Below are 14,438 nucleotides of genomic sequence, written 5' to 3'. Positions count from 1 at the left end.
AAATGTGGCAGCAGGCATGAAGCAGCATTTCTGGTGCTGAGCTTTACTGGCAGTCCTAGCCATAGCTGAGTTGTCAAAAGCCAGTTACGCAAATGGCATTGACCTTCCTAGCTGTCTTCTCATGCAGCATGTCCTGGTAAAGCTGTCGAGTGGCAAATGAGAATCCTTTTCTGGTCTCAGTGATGGAGATGTTTTCATTTTCACCCACACCCTTAATTTTTACTGATAATAAAACTCACAGACGTCCTGGTCCCTAGTGAAGCCAGACTACTAAGGCTTAAGAATGAAGATGATCCGCTTGTACCCACACCCATGAGCCAGTTAGAAGAGTATGATCTACACAGAGACCATTGTGAAACCAGGCAGTGTGTGACAATTGCCTGAAATGGGGACATGGCATCAAAAAGTATTTTAGGAGTTGATGGGGGAAAAAAATCTCTTCTGGATACGGGAGAGGCTGACACCTGAAACTGGATATGTCCCAGGTATCTCAAGTTCCATATGACCGAAAGTGACACTACTAACATTCCTTCAGAAGTGTCACCCTCTGTTACAATCACCTTGGACAAGCTGCATTTGTTCCCTAAACCTCCAGCTTCCAAACTTAAAAATAGGGGCACTATCTCAAAGGATTGTTGTGAGAATTCTTTCAACACATATTTGTGGACCCACCAACAACACCTTTGTTTCTATTCTAGGCACAGGGTATAAAAAATTGAAAAAAGAGAAAAAATCCCTGATTTCATAGATCTTTAGATCACAAATCATCCCATGAGATGATTTATAAGCTGTGAATTTCAACACAAATGTTCACTTGTAGGTATTCAGCAGCATTTGGTGACCCCAGTGGGACACTGCTGTGGCATCTGTCCTATCTGGGTGCCTGGGAGGGTCATCAGCTGCCCACACATCAACAAACTGAGGAAGTGCAGTGCGTTACAGTGTAGTTACCATGGTAACAGCACCAACACCTGCAGCTTGGGTGACTTTTGATTTGAGGTTTGAATTGAAAGCCACTGCAGCTTGTCCTTGGCTATTATATCTTGACACATACTCCCATTCCTCCTAATTGGAAGACAGGAGCCTCTTCTTGTGCTGGGTTCTACAGCTTTGGAAGATAATGTCTCCTTCTGATGCCTCTCTCACACTCACCCTGACATCAAGGAACCCTCCAAATTCTTTAGAACAAAATGCAGAAAACCCCATCTGGCTGTTTTGTGTCCTGTAGTGATAGACAAGCAGATAGAAATTTCAGTTTATTGACAGAGGCATCATGTCTTCTTATTTAGATTCTAAAATCCACACATTAAGTTAGCCAAAATCAAAGTTGAAGGCCATTTGTTACCTCTGTGTAACTTAGTCTGCATGCCTGGTATGGTGCTTCTTTAGGAGACTTCCATCAACATTTAAGATACTTTTCAGGCCTTTTTCAGATGGTAGGCTGCTGTTTTGAATGTGACTGGTTGTGAGTAATCATAAATTAGCTCAGTTGTATCCAAGTTATTGTCCAATAAAAAGCAAATCAAAACTTCGGAGAAAGTATTTGAAAGTATTATTGCAAGTTGGGGGAAGGGAACCATTGCTGGGGCAGGGGACTATTGCAATAGGGAGAGTGCTCTACACTTAAGATCTCTGAGAACCTCTAGAGTTAGGCAAGAATTTTTCTCTCTTTTTTTAGAGACAGAGTCTCACTCTGCACACAGGCTGGAGTACAGTGGCATGATCATAGCAGCCTCAAACTCCTGGGCTTCAGCGATCCTCCTGCCTCAGACTCCTGAGGAACTGGGACTGACTACAGGTGTGCACCACCACACCTAGAAAGTTTATAAATTTTTTGTAGAGAGGGGGTCTCATTATGTTGCCCAAGCTGGTCTTGAACTCCTGGGCTAAAGTGGGTGGTGGGGTGGGTGGTAGTGATGGGTGATGGGTGGTGGTGGTGGTGGGTGGTGGTGGGATGGGTGGTGGGTGGGGTGAGGGGTGGGAAGTGGGTGGTGGGGTGGAGGGTGAGTGGTGGGGGGTGTTGGGGGTAGGAGATGGGTGGGGGGTGGGAAGTGGAGGGTGGGAGGTGGGGTTAGGTGTGGGAGGTGGAGGTGGGGTGGGATTTCTTGACATTTTCTGTTTCCCAGGATCAAGGGCTCAAGCAAAGTTTAACATTGTCATTATAATATTTCTAGGGCTGGAAAGAATTTTAGAGTCTAGTTTCACCCTCTCATTTTACCGGTGAAGCAACTGAGGCCCTGACAGAGTTTTCCACCAAATCTGTCGAATTGGCTAAAGGCACAGAGAAGAAACTGCACAAGGGATGCTAAGACTTAGAACTATTCTAGTCTTCATGAATGTATATGCACAGGGTTATGGGGAGGTCGAAACGAGATCATTTTGAAGATTCTTTGGAAAGTTAAAAGCAAGACTTAAAATAAGCAGAACATCTAAAATGGACATTCATTCTCTCTCTCAGCACCCCGACCTTGTTCTTCCAGATCTTCTAACAACCTGCATTTACCTGCTGTGTTGACTTATCATCTGCCTCTCTGCACTACAATACAAGCTCTATGGGAGTAGGGGTTTTGGTTTTCTAGTTTGTTACTAATGGATTGTTAATATGCAGAATAGTTCTTACAGGCCAGGTACTCAACAAATATTTATTGAAAAATCAATAAGCCCAGGGAGTCATGAGCCCTAGTAATAAAGAAATCTTTAAAATATCAGCTTTTTGGTAGACTTCTGCAATCACCCAGCAATTATCTATGGGGAGCTTCAGAGTTCTCGGCATTCTCTCTGGATCTGGGGTTTGAGTGGTAAAGGAAACGGACCACGCCCTGCTGATCTTCCTGTGGGGAAGCCCAGCAGCAACTGGAAACTGATAGAGAAGTAAAATATCAGACAGTGACCCAAACAGTGCAGGGAATTCAAGGAGGGAGTATCACATCTTAGATTGGAGGTCAGGGTAGAAGAATGACCCAAACAGCGAAGAGAATTCAAGGAGGGAGGACCACATCTTACATTGGAGGTCAGAGTAGAAGAATGACCCAGAAAGTGAAGAGAATTCAAGGAGGGAGTACCATGTCTTAGATTGGAGGCCAAAGTAGAAGAACTCTCTGGGTCTAACATTTAAGCAGATGTTGAAATGATGAGAAGACAGCCAAGTAAACCAACAAGGAAAGCATTCCAGGGGGCAGCCCAGAAGAATCAGCTTCTTGCAATGTACATTTATATAGTGCCTTGTCTATTTCTAAGTGCCTTGCTGTCATCACCACCACGAGAGCCCTAAGGATTAGGGGTTTTGTTATCACAATGTCTGGTTTATTAGAAGGGCCTCTAAAGTTTGCCTCTAGTTTGGAAAACCACTGTTTCTATTTATCTGAATAGAGAAGAGAAAAGCTAACCTTGGGACCAGTTGTTTTAATTTGCAGGAAAACCTAGATTTCTAATGAATAACAATGAATGAGAGAGAATTGATACAGGCAGATCTGAGATATCCATATCTGTCTCTGCAGTACATGGTTAGGAAATGCTACATATGATTTGTATTTACTGTGCTGATGTTGAGAGAGGAACACCTGGGTGAGATCCAGTAGGTTCTAAATAAATCTAGCTTGATGATATCTCTTTGAGTTATAAGTATATGTTCTATCTGTAGAGAAAGAAAGGGAGAAGCTACATTGATTTTAATGGAAATGTCAGGAAGAGGTTGAATGAGTTGAAACATAAATGAGACAGTCATTACAAAATATTCAAATGAAATTTTGGGATAATAAGAATGCTCATTTAAAAAGCCCGTTCGATTAGTGTCAAGCTAGAACAGAAAAACACATTTAAAAGGCTGTACTTTAGTTTGTGTCTGTGTATTTGCCACACATAAGCTTAGACACTTTAATAAGACACTTATAAACATTGAAATATATGAGTTGATATGGTGAAACATAATTCCAGAATTCTTGAGTATAATAGGTCTGGAGCATGATTTATAAGTTATTTTGCAATGATGTGTCTGAGGTCATGGTGGCCGCACCTGTAGTCTCAGCTACTTGGGAAGGTGAGGTGTCAGGATCCTTTGAGCCCAGGAGTTCCAGGTTACAGTGAGCTGTGATGCGCCACTGCACTGCAGCCTGGGCAACAGAGTGAGACCCCATCTTTAAAGAAAAAAAAAAGAAGAATCTGAGACATTGTAAGAAAAATTCCTTCATCTCCTCATCAAGTGTTTATTGGGTGCCTGCTGTGTGCCCAGCCATATGCTAGAGGCTGGGGATATAGGAATAAAAGCTACCAGCCATGCCCTAGGTCAGTGCCTAGTTCTGGGTCAGCAAATAGCATCCAACTTGTTCAGTGCTATTCTATCATTAAAACATAAGCTGGAGTTCTATTTGTTTGCACATTTTACAAAAATAATGTGTAAATAGATGATTCTATAAAAATGTCCAAACAATGCTGTTAGGTAGACATCACTCTACACACTTGTTTTGTGGGTGACATTGCCTCACTAAGGAGCAGCTCCAGCAGCCAACCAGAATCAAAGCTGTCCTCTTTCATGGGGCTCTGGGCTTACCCAGGAAAGAACAAAATAAATTGACACAATGTAGGCTAATCATGATATTGAAAACAGAAAGGACTTGGGAGCCTCCTGAAATAAATTGTTAAAAATTACATAAACCTATTTATGGTTGGATTTATAATAAGTGCCTGTGTGTTTGTTTTCTTGACAGCTCTGTCAACCAGGCTGGAGTGCAGTGGTGCAATCATGGCTCACTGCAGCCTCCCCATCCTGGGCTCAATCGATCCTCCCACTGCAGCTTCCTGAGCGGGTAGAACTACAGGCATGCACCACCACTCCTGGCTAATTTTTTTTCCTTTGGTATTTTTTTGTAGAGACAGGGTTTAACCACATTGCCCAGGCTGGCCTCCAACTCCTGGACTCAAGCAATCCACCTACCTCGGCCTCTCAAAGTTCTGGGATTACAGGCGTGAGCCACCGCGCCTGGCCTGTGCTGGTGGTTGTAAGAGCATAAGCTATTGTTCTTTCCATCCTTCTCTTTTTCAGTTTTTCTTCTGTTTTTGCATAGTTAGGCCCTTGTGAAGTTTGGCTGACATTTGTTGTATGCTTTTAATTCCCCTCAAAAAAGAATTTTCTACATTTTACAAAGAACTAAGAAAAAACCCAAAGAAAGCACTTTGTCCTGGGGATCTGTGGTCTCGTTGCCTGCAGCCTGTTTCCTGCGGCCTGTTTCAGCGAGCTCTGTTGCTTGTTAAAGCCTTAAATAAAGTCAATATTTTGTGATGAGACCATTTTAGAGGACATGCTTGCATATCTGTGATGTGCCCATGGACTCCCAACAGATGCTGCTATTTTCGTAATGACATTTTCTAGCAGCAGAGATGAAACAAATATTGAGGCGTTGAGCTCCTTTCTTTGTTATATCAGATTAGAATGTAATGCCAATTGCATCCAGCTTCAAACAAACTCAAGGAATAAAAATCTAGACTTCCAAAACAGATGCACGAGGTTTGAATAAAGATTCATCTGAGGGTCTGCACTTGCTTTCCCCTCCTTACGTATTGTTCGTTGAAGTGATTTTTTAAAACCCAGGTCTGACCCTATCATCTCTGATGCTTACAATCTTTCCAAGGCTTCCCTTTACCTATGGACAAGGCATTTTAACATGATAGAAAATGTCCTTTCAGCCCATTCCCAACTCAGCAGGCCGCTGGCATGCACACACGCGCACCTCCAAGTGTGTGTCCCATGCTCATGTGGCTATGCTGTCTCGTAGTCTCCAAGTCACTGAGGGTCCCATTGCTGGGGCTAGGTGTGGTGTGCATGGTTCTTTCCAAGGAGATGGAGGGATGCCAGCCCTTTGCCTGGTGAGGTTTGGGACGAGGTCTTGCCGTAACCAGATGCTATGCTGCAATGCCAGGTGTGGGCGCTGGAAGTCTGTGTAACCCCTTAGTGTCCTTTCCCACCCCTTCCCCACCCCTTTAGGCTAGAATGTAATGCCTTAATATTCACACTGTGGTCCAAGTGCCAGCAATGCCAGCCTCACCTGGGAGCTCCTTAGCAATGCATCACACTAGGTCCTACCCTGGACTTACTGTGTCAGAAACTCTAGGGTGGATCCAGCTGTTGCGTTTGAACCTCTGGGTGATTCTGATGTACATTTGAGTTTGCTGTAGGTGAACACAGCCTGGCTCTTCTAGGTCCCACTGACGTATTGAAGCAGAATGTGCATGTTAACAGGAACCCATGATTTCTGTGCTCAGCACCGTTCAGAACCTGCTTCCTTGATTGCACATATTACATTCCTACTGAGCTCTTCTAGGTAGGTGGGCAGCTAGGAGGAGCAGTATAGACAGAGGCCTTGCTTTTAAAAAGCCTGCATTCCAGATGGAGGGTGGCATGACAATAAGAAGGGGGGAAAAGCAGGTAAAACAGTGGCAGAGTAATGGCTCTGAATCAAAGGAAACAGCCAGGTGGGAGGACAGGGGAGAGAGAGAGAGACAAGAGACAGAGAGGAAGGTAGAGAGGCAGAGAGAGGGAAGTAGAGAGAGAGAGGAGGGACAAGGTAAAGACAGCATGGCCAGTGAGGCCTCTCTCTAGGAGGAGCTAGCCTGTGCTCACCTGGGACCATGTTGCACAGAGGGTGTTGTGAGATGACTGGGCTCACTGCGCAGTTTCTGACTCAGTAGGTCTGGGGTGAGGCCTCAGCGTGTTGCGTTGTCGACAGGCTCCCAGGAGGTGTTGCTGCTGCTGGTTTGAGAACCCTAGATCTAGGAGACCATTCCAGAAACATGGCACATGTATTTAGACCTTGGGCTTTGGGGCAGGCGTGGGTGGGACAGGCTGTTCAGCACAGCCTGGGGGCAGAGGAAGGTGGGACGTTGGGGGCCAAGTCTGGCAGGTCAGCAGGTGCCTTGTGGGCTGTGGGATTTTGTTCTCTTGGCCCAAGAGAGCTAGTGGTGGGTTGTGGCAGGGGAGAGATGTGGGGCCTGATTTGCATTTGTAAAAATGCAAATTATATTGCTTTGATTTTCTATTCAAGGACAGATTGGGAGGCAGAGGTAGAAGCAAGGGAGGTTAAGAGGCTACGGTGGTGGTCAGTCCCTTCCAGAGATGACGGTGGCTTGGATCCCCATGACAGTGGCAGAGAGTAGAGAAAGGTGGGCAGATTTGAGGTACATGGTGCAGGTGGAGCAGACGGCACTTGCTACTGGATGCTTGGGGGTGGGAGAGGGGAAGAGAGGAACCAAGGGTGCCTCTCAGCACAGCACTTGGGTGGAGGTGAAGCCATTCACTGGAATGGGAAGCTGGGGTTGGAGCAGTGGGAGGTGGGGCGGGAAACCCAGTGTTCTCTTTTAGACATGTCATGGTGTATGTGAGGATGAGACATCCCAGTGGCAACATGGAGCTGGCATTTGTGCCTGTGAGTCTGAAATTCAGGGAAGTAGCCAGGGATGAGGATTTTATTTTGGAAGGCATCATCAAGAGGTGCCATTTGATTGAAGTTAGCAAATTGGTTCAGCCATCCAAGGGACTCCACACTCCCCAGCACACCACGATTCCCAGCCTCCTTCTAAGACTCTCCCGAGCCCAGCCTGGGTCTGGCTGCTTCCCCCGAAGCAGGGCTGGCTTGCTGCTCTTTCCCACAGCACAGCCACAGCTAGCAGCCTGCTGGACAGAAGAAATCCTCTAAACCCAGCTCCTTTCTACTGGGGGCTCTGCTGACCTTCAGTGCCAGCCACCACTTCACTCAAGCCCTCCCACACTTGCCTCAGTGGGGTTTCCACCAGTTGGGTCTTTGCACACGTGGCTACTTCAGCCTCATGCCCTGACCGTATGGGGGTGCTCCACTGAGCCAGGATCTGCCCCCACGCCGTCCTGCTCACCTCCATGATGCGGAGCTGTTTTATCAGCTGGTTACTGTGTGTAGTCCAGGTCCTCAGAACTTGGAATAGGATGGGCCTTTTTCATTTAAAAAATATGCTCTCCAAACACAATTTTCGGATAAGCTCTTTCAACTTTATTTTCTTTTTCTTTTTCCTTTTTTATATGACTAGAGGCATGTGCAGGTCTTTAAAGAATCGCTGTGTGACTGTGATTGATTCTTTGGTCTGAACATGACAGCCTTCTGGTCAATCTAGCTGCTGTTGAGTCACACCAAGACTGAGGAGCTGCATGTTCCACTCGCTGACTGTCTTTGGCAAGCCAACGTGAAGTCTTGGAATTAAATAACTATCCATTCTGTGCCTAAATACTCATTTGTAGAATCCATGCTCCTGCCTTTCCTAAGAAGCACCTTTGATTTGCTTTTACATTCTCATTTTTTTTTCCTGTTTCATAAGCTCAGTTCAATTCATCATAATCAGCTGTAGGCAGCTCCAAATTTAAATAATGTCACCTGGGTGAGTCATACCTAAGGGAACACTTAGTTGGTCAATACATGGTCTCTGCACAATCTAAATTAAAGTCAACTCTGAGGTTGACTTGAACAGAGTGAATTCAGCCAGTGCTTCAGGTTTAAAAGACCAAGCTGCTCTTGGTTGTTTGTACATGATAAACTAGGTTGTCTTAGTTCACAGACGAATCCCAAAGAACGTCAGTGTCTTTTGGAAGTAGCAGATGTTGGGACTGAGAAACACTAAGCACTATCAAAGGACTAAATGCCCCAGCAAACTGAAAATCCTGATACTCTTTGCAAAGTGCCTCAGTAATTATGGTCTGGAATACCTGGTGTGTTGGGGGAGGTTTATTTATCTTACCTTAATCAAGGACCATATGGTACTAAGTCAGGAAGCAGCAGTGGGACCTTGACTATTCCTAGGCCAAATATGGTAAAATTACTAATTGCCTTGCACAGGATTAATAAAGTGCTATTATTTGTGTTGAATTTTATTGAAACATAAGTTAGAGTTTATAGAGACCGTCATAAAATAGATATGATCTTTTCTGTTCCTGATCCTTTTCCAAAAGATATTACTTTCCTCCTCTTTCAGGGCCCAGGAACAAAGAATTGATTTCCTTTCCTCATTTAATTAATATTTGTTGGGTGATTGCTATGCAAGAGGTACTGTTGTACACCTTGAGGATACAAATGTGAGCAACATCATGGCCTCTGTTGACATAAGGCTGAGAATGTGGCAGTGGAAATTGATATGTATTAATGTTGTGTAATTAGGAGCGGTCCATCTTACATGGAGGTGAGGCCTGAGGTTCTGGAGCCATGCTAGCTCCTCGAAGCTGAATCTTTGAAAAGAGAGTAATCAAGAATGAGGACAGAGATACTGGTGAGTTGGGAAGAGCTCAGATGTTCCTAAATATGTCAAGCTCGGATGGTATCTTCTAGGCAATGGCTAGCCATCCAAAGATTTTAAACAGAGGTGTAAGACTCATCAGATTTTACTTCTGAAAGATCATTCTGGGATTAAGGTGAAAGATAGATTTGAAAGGTGCTGCACACACCCAGAAGAGAGATAGGGAGATTTCACAGGGAGGTGACGGTGGGAGTGATAAAGAAAGGATGGAGTCATTGGTGAGAAGTAGGTGAAACAGAAAGACCCCAGGAGACAGAGATGTGGTGGGACAGTGAGACATAGGTGTGGTGGGATGGTGAGATGTAGGTGTGTTGGGATGGTGAGATGTAGCTGTGGTGAGATGGGGAGATGTAGGTGTGGTGGGATAGTGAAATGTTGTGGTGGGATGGTGGGATGTAGTGTGGTGGGATGGTGAGACGCAGGTGTGGAGGCCTCAGAACATCTAGCCTTTGGACAGGTGAGTTGGAACTTTAGCAGGAGTTGGGGAAGGAGACACAGTCTGAGAAAGCAGCTCTGTGGAACTGATTCTTCATCTGCAGAAGTGGATAGTCTCTTCCTGCAAGCATTTAGAGGAGGGAGGAGAAGCAATCACTAAGCCAGAGGGATGTGGAGAAAGCACAAATGACACTGAGGAGAAAGAGACACCAGAGGAGAAAGTACGACAGTGTCTTTACCAATACTTAGTAATGACCTTCCTTTTTGTTAATTTATTTAATTCTCAAAGTTTCCCCTATCAACAGGGAAGGAAACAGGATGACAGTGTGTGTCAGATATTCTCTGAAATGGCCACAATCAATCAACACCTTCCATTTTTGGAAGCTGAGGCTGGGTCTTCTCAGGCAGGGCAGACTGTTGAATCTGGGCTATCATCTCCACCACATTGACTATTAGAATATAGTGGAGGAGGCCGGGTGTGGTGGCTCATGCCTGTAATTCCAGCACTTTGGGAGGCCGAGGCGGGCAGACCACGAGGTCAGGAGATCGAGACCATCCTGGCTAACACGGTGAAACCCCATCTCTACTAAAAATACAAAAAATTAGCCGGGCATGGTGGTGGGCGCCTGTAGTCCCAGCTACTTGGGAGGCTGAGGCAGGAGAATGGCGTGAACCTGGGAGGCGGAGCTTGCAGTGAGCCCAGATTGCACCACTGCACTCCAGCCTGTGGGAGAGAGCGAGATTCCTCTCAAAACAAACAAACAAACAAACAAACAAAAAAGAATATAGTGGAGGTGATGTCAGGTGCCTCCTGAGACTAGGTCATAAGAGGCCCTGCAGTACCTCTCTCTTAGAGTAGAGCTCTATACTGGGGGCACCATGCCACGTGGAGAAACTACATGGAGACCCAGGTGGAAGTGCCCCAGTGACAACCAGTAAGCTCTCAGGGACATCTTTGCAGAACCAGCCTGAGTCATTTGGCTCCTGGGTCCTTGTTCTTCCTGTTCTGAGATGCCTCATGCATACTGTGGAGGTACGGATGCATTCTTGCGCAAACAGTATTCATGCTCTTATAAAAATATGTACTTATGCAAATGGCACATTTGCCATGCACAAGTGTTTCCCTAAATATTTAGAGCAAAAATTATTGCATGGATAGAGCCTGAAAGTCTTAAAAAAATCTTTCAGAATTTATCTTTTTTCATTTGTGAGTTGGAAAAAAAGAGCCCTTAAGACTCCCATACTGATCCAGTTTGCTTATTAAGTGTATTGGTTTACTGGGGCTGTCATAACAAAGTACCATAAACTGCATAGCTTAAACCACAGAAGCGTATTGCCTCCCAGTGCTGGAGGCTGGATGCCAGCAATCAAGGTGTGGGTAGGGTTGGGTCCTTCTGAGGCTCCGGGGCTGACTCTGTTCCATGCGTCTCCTGTTTAGGCTAATGAGCAGCACACATTAGCTGCTGGTGGTTTGCTGAACATCTTTGATGTTCCTTGGCTTGTAGAGGTCTAGTGCCCTGATCTCTGTCTTCATCTTCACATGGGCTTCTTCCCATGAGTGTAGCTGTGTTTGAGTTGCCCTTTTTATAAGGACACTGGTCATACTGGATTAGGGCTCACCTTAGTGACTTTGTCTTAATTTAATTATATCTATTCCAAATGAGGTCACATGCTGAGGTCCTGGGGGTTAGGATTCAACATAAAGATTTGTGGGGACACAACCCAACCCATAACAAATAGTATTTATTAAGTGTTTATTCAGCACACCTCTGCAAAGTTCTAGCACATTGAACAGAAGTACCAACAAGTAATCATAGTCAATTTTTGTAAGACAGATAGGAGCAAAGTGCCCTGGGGAAAGAAGCAAGTAATACCCTCTGCCTGGGAGAACCAAGGAGGGCTTCCAGGAGGAGGAATTTATAGTGTGTACAGAGAGCGGGCTTATAAAAAAGTAGAAATCACCCCATGCAAGAGCCAGGAGCAGACGGGCCTTGGTGAAGGGTGTGCTAGAGTCTGGAGGGCTGTCCAGTTCATGTTTTAGCCAGAGGATAGCATTCCAACTTGAATTTCTGAGAAAAAATGCTGGGTACTTGTGTGCATTTCTTCTTTTCTTTTCTTTCTTTTTTTCTTCTTTTTTTTTTTTTTTTTTTTTTTTGAGATAGAGTCCCGCTCTGTCACCCAGGCTGAAGTGCAATGATGCAATCTTGGCTCACTGCAACCTCCCCCTTGTAGGTTCAAGCAATTCTCCTGCCTCAGCCTCACAAGTAGCTGGGATTACAGGTGCATGCCTGGATAATTTTTGTATTTTTAGTAGAGATGGGATTTTGCCATGTTGGCCAGGCTGGCCTCGAACTCCTGGCCTCAACTGATCCACCTGCCTCAGCCTCCCAAAGTATTGGGATTACAAACATAGCCACCATACTTGGCCTGTTTTTTCTTTTCTTGTTTTTATATCATGTCCTTTATTATTATTTTGGTTTAGGTGCCTCTACATATATATGTCTGCATTTTACCCTTATGATAAACTACACTTGATTTACTTTGCCATGCACAGGGCTGATTTTTACTCCCTCTATTATGTTGGGCACTGAAGAACAAGGAGCAGGCTCCTGGGCAGGGCTGGCCCTGTAGGAACGGGCGTCCACCCACTCCAGGTGTGTTCCTGTACGCCTCACACTCCTGCCATCTCGAAGGTCCTTGGCGTGGGGTCGCAGCACTGCTCTCAGCTCACCTTCATTATTGGCATTAACTGTACTGTCACGGGGCATGATGGGTCCCTGGACTTAATCCCCACAACAGCCCCGGGAGCAAGGCATGGGGCCTATCTCCATTTTACTGAGGAGGAAACCGTATCTCAGAAAGAGAAGCCTGAGAAGTACCACACAGAGGCCCTGAGAACACCCCCTTCGGCTGTCTTTGCTTGGAGAGGAAGCTGAGGCTCTGCAGGGCAAAGGGACTTGCCGAGGTACCAGGAGACCCAGTGGCCAAATCAAGCCCAGGCCCATGCCCTGTCTCATTGTCCTGGGCTGCTTCTAGGTTACCATTTCAAGCTTCCTGCCATTCTACATGACTTACCATAATGATAGAGGGAAATAAACAGCATTTTAGTCTCAAGGGTTTTTTTTTTTTTAATTTTGGTTTTGTTTTCTTTAAAGAGTTCAGTGCATCTTATAGCTGAGAGTGATTTGCCTGTTAAGTATGCAAAGTGAATAAACATCTTTGTGTACTGATGCATCAGATCTTGGAGTTGGAAGGGCACTTCCTGGTGCTAACCCACCCCTGGCACTCTCAGAAGGCAGGTGCTCAGTGTCCATGTACTGCCATGCCCGAAGCTTGGGGCCACACCATGGGACGCACATGCTGTTCTTGTTCTTGTTCCAGGAGCAAAGGAAGCTTCCAAGGCTCTGCAGAGGGGTGGTAGCACCTACCCTTGGACAGTTTCCCTCCTCCCTCCTTTCCTCACTCAGTAGCTCGCCTTCTTTCATGTGCAAGTCCCTTGCAGCTCTTGTAGGTGTGTCCTTTCTAACACTCACGGCAGCGTGCAACCCTTGAGTACAGCCTTGTGATTGGTTTTAAGTGTTTGTCTCCCTAACTCACTGGGATGAAGCCATGCATATATTGTTTCCCACTGGAATCTCATGGCTTAGTGCAGCCTCTGACACACACTGGGGCTGCATAGCTATTTGCAGAATGCATGAATCCAGCGCCTGGTCTCAGCCACCAAACTCTACCGCTTTCTGCACTAGGTGGGTGCAGGGCAGTTGTGGGCTGGTAAGTAGTAAATACCCACAACCTGGCCTTCCTTCTGTGTGGGTGGGAGGACTGGTTCCCATGCATCTGCTCCAGGCTAGTCTCACTCCAGCATGCACACTGCTGATGTGTGCAGCTTGTTAGCCTAAACAAATGTGTTGAGGATTCTCCAGGTCCAAGCATAAAAGTCACTAATTGTTTCTCTAACAAAAACCCAAACTAGCGGCTGGTGGGCCAGTCCAGGCCCAGGGTTTTGTGCTGCCAACTTCATTCTTTTGGGTTTTCATGGAAAGAGATGCTGGCTTGGCAAAAACATGGTATACTAAAATTTTTTAAGTGGGAAAGATTGCTGAGCCCTGACCTTGACAATGTTCTTGGCAAAGAGGACATGAGAAGCTGCTGGCAGTCAGTTCTCCTTTTGGTGGGGACACGCTTTGCAGTTCCAGGCTGCACTGTGTCACCACTCCTGCTTCCAAAAGCTGGTGACAAGCAGATATATACAATCTATTCAGCCGGCTCTTTTGGCAAACTTTGTTTTCTCCTTGGTGGCTACTGGCTCGTTTTTATGGTTAATTATTGGCTTTCTTTTTCTTTCTTTCCTTTTCATTTTTTTCTAACAGACTCCAAGACTCAAACATTTGGAAGCTATCCGGATGTCTCTGGCCCCTCTCCTCCTCATTCTCTCCCAGCCAATGCTTCTTCCTTCCTCCAGTCTCACCCCCAGGAGTTCATCAGCCTCTGCTGCAGATTCTGTGGCAATGCAGAAGAATTTTGTTCCGAGCGAACTTGTCTGAAGGCTTGAAATGGCTTTCTTAAATTGAGTCACTTTTTATTCTCATAAGAGGTTAATTTTCTTTACACATGAAATCGATGTAGCTTGCTCTAGTGTTGCATATTGAATCTTCTCTCTTCTTTCCCCAGTGGACCCATAGGGGACCCAAAGGGACCCA

At 45.6% G+C, this 14,438-nt stretch overlaps 1 long non-coding RNA gene across 1 annotated transcript in view, besides 1 other annotated feature; it reads right to left on the bottom strand.

Annotated features, from left to right (window-relative positions):
* Positions 1-14,438, bottom strand: part of LOC124901947 (uncharacterized) — a 42,576-nt gene that overhangs the window by 16,636 nt on the left and 11,502 nt on the right. The window lies entirely within an intron of this gene.
* Positions 6,309-6,809: an enhancer, noted in NCBI's record as "H3K4me1 hESC enhancer chr8:54415779-54416279 (GRCh37/hg19 assembly coordinates)". NCBI's record gives its function as "activates a minimal SCP1, AML or CMV promoter by ChIP-STARR-seq in primed H9 embryonic stem cells {active_cell/tissue: H9 hESC(primed)}" and the evidence as "EXISTENCE:reporter gene assay evidence [ECO:0000049][PMID:30033119]".

This window comes from Homo sapiens, chromosome 8 (assembly GCF_000001405.40).
Source record: "Homo sapiens chromosome 8, GRCh38.p14 Primary Assembly".
NCBI classification, from domain to species: domain Eukaryota; kingdom Metazoa; phylum Chordata; class Mammalia; order Primates; family Hominidae; genus Homo; species Homo sapiens.
This window is presented reverse-complemented; position numbering and strand designations above follow the sequence as displayed.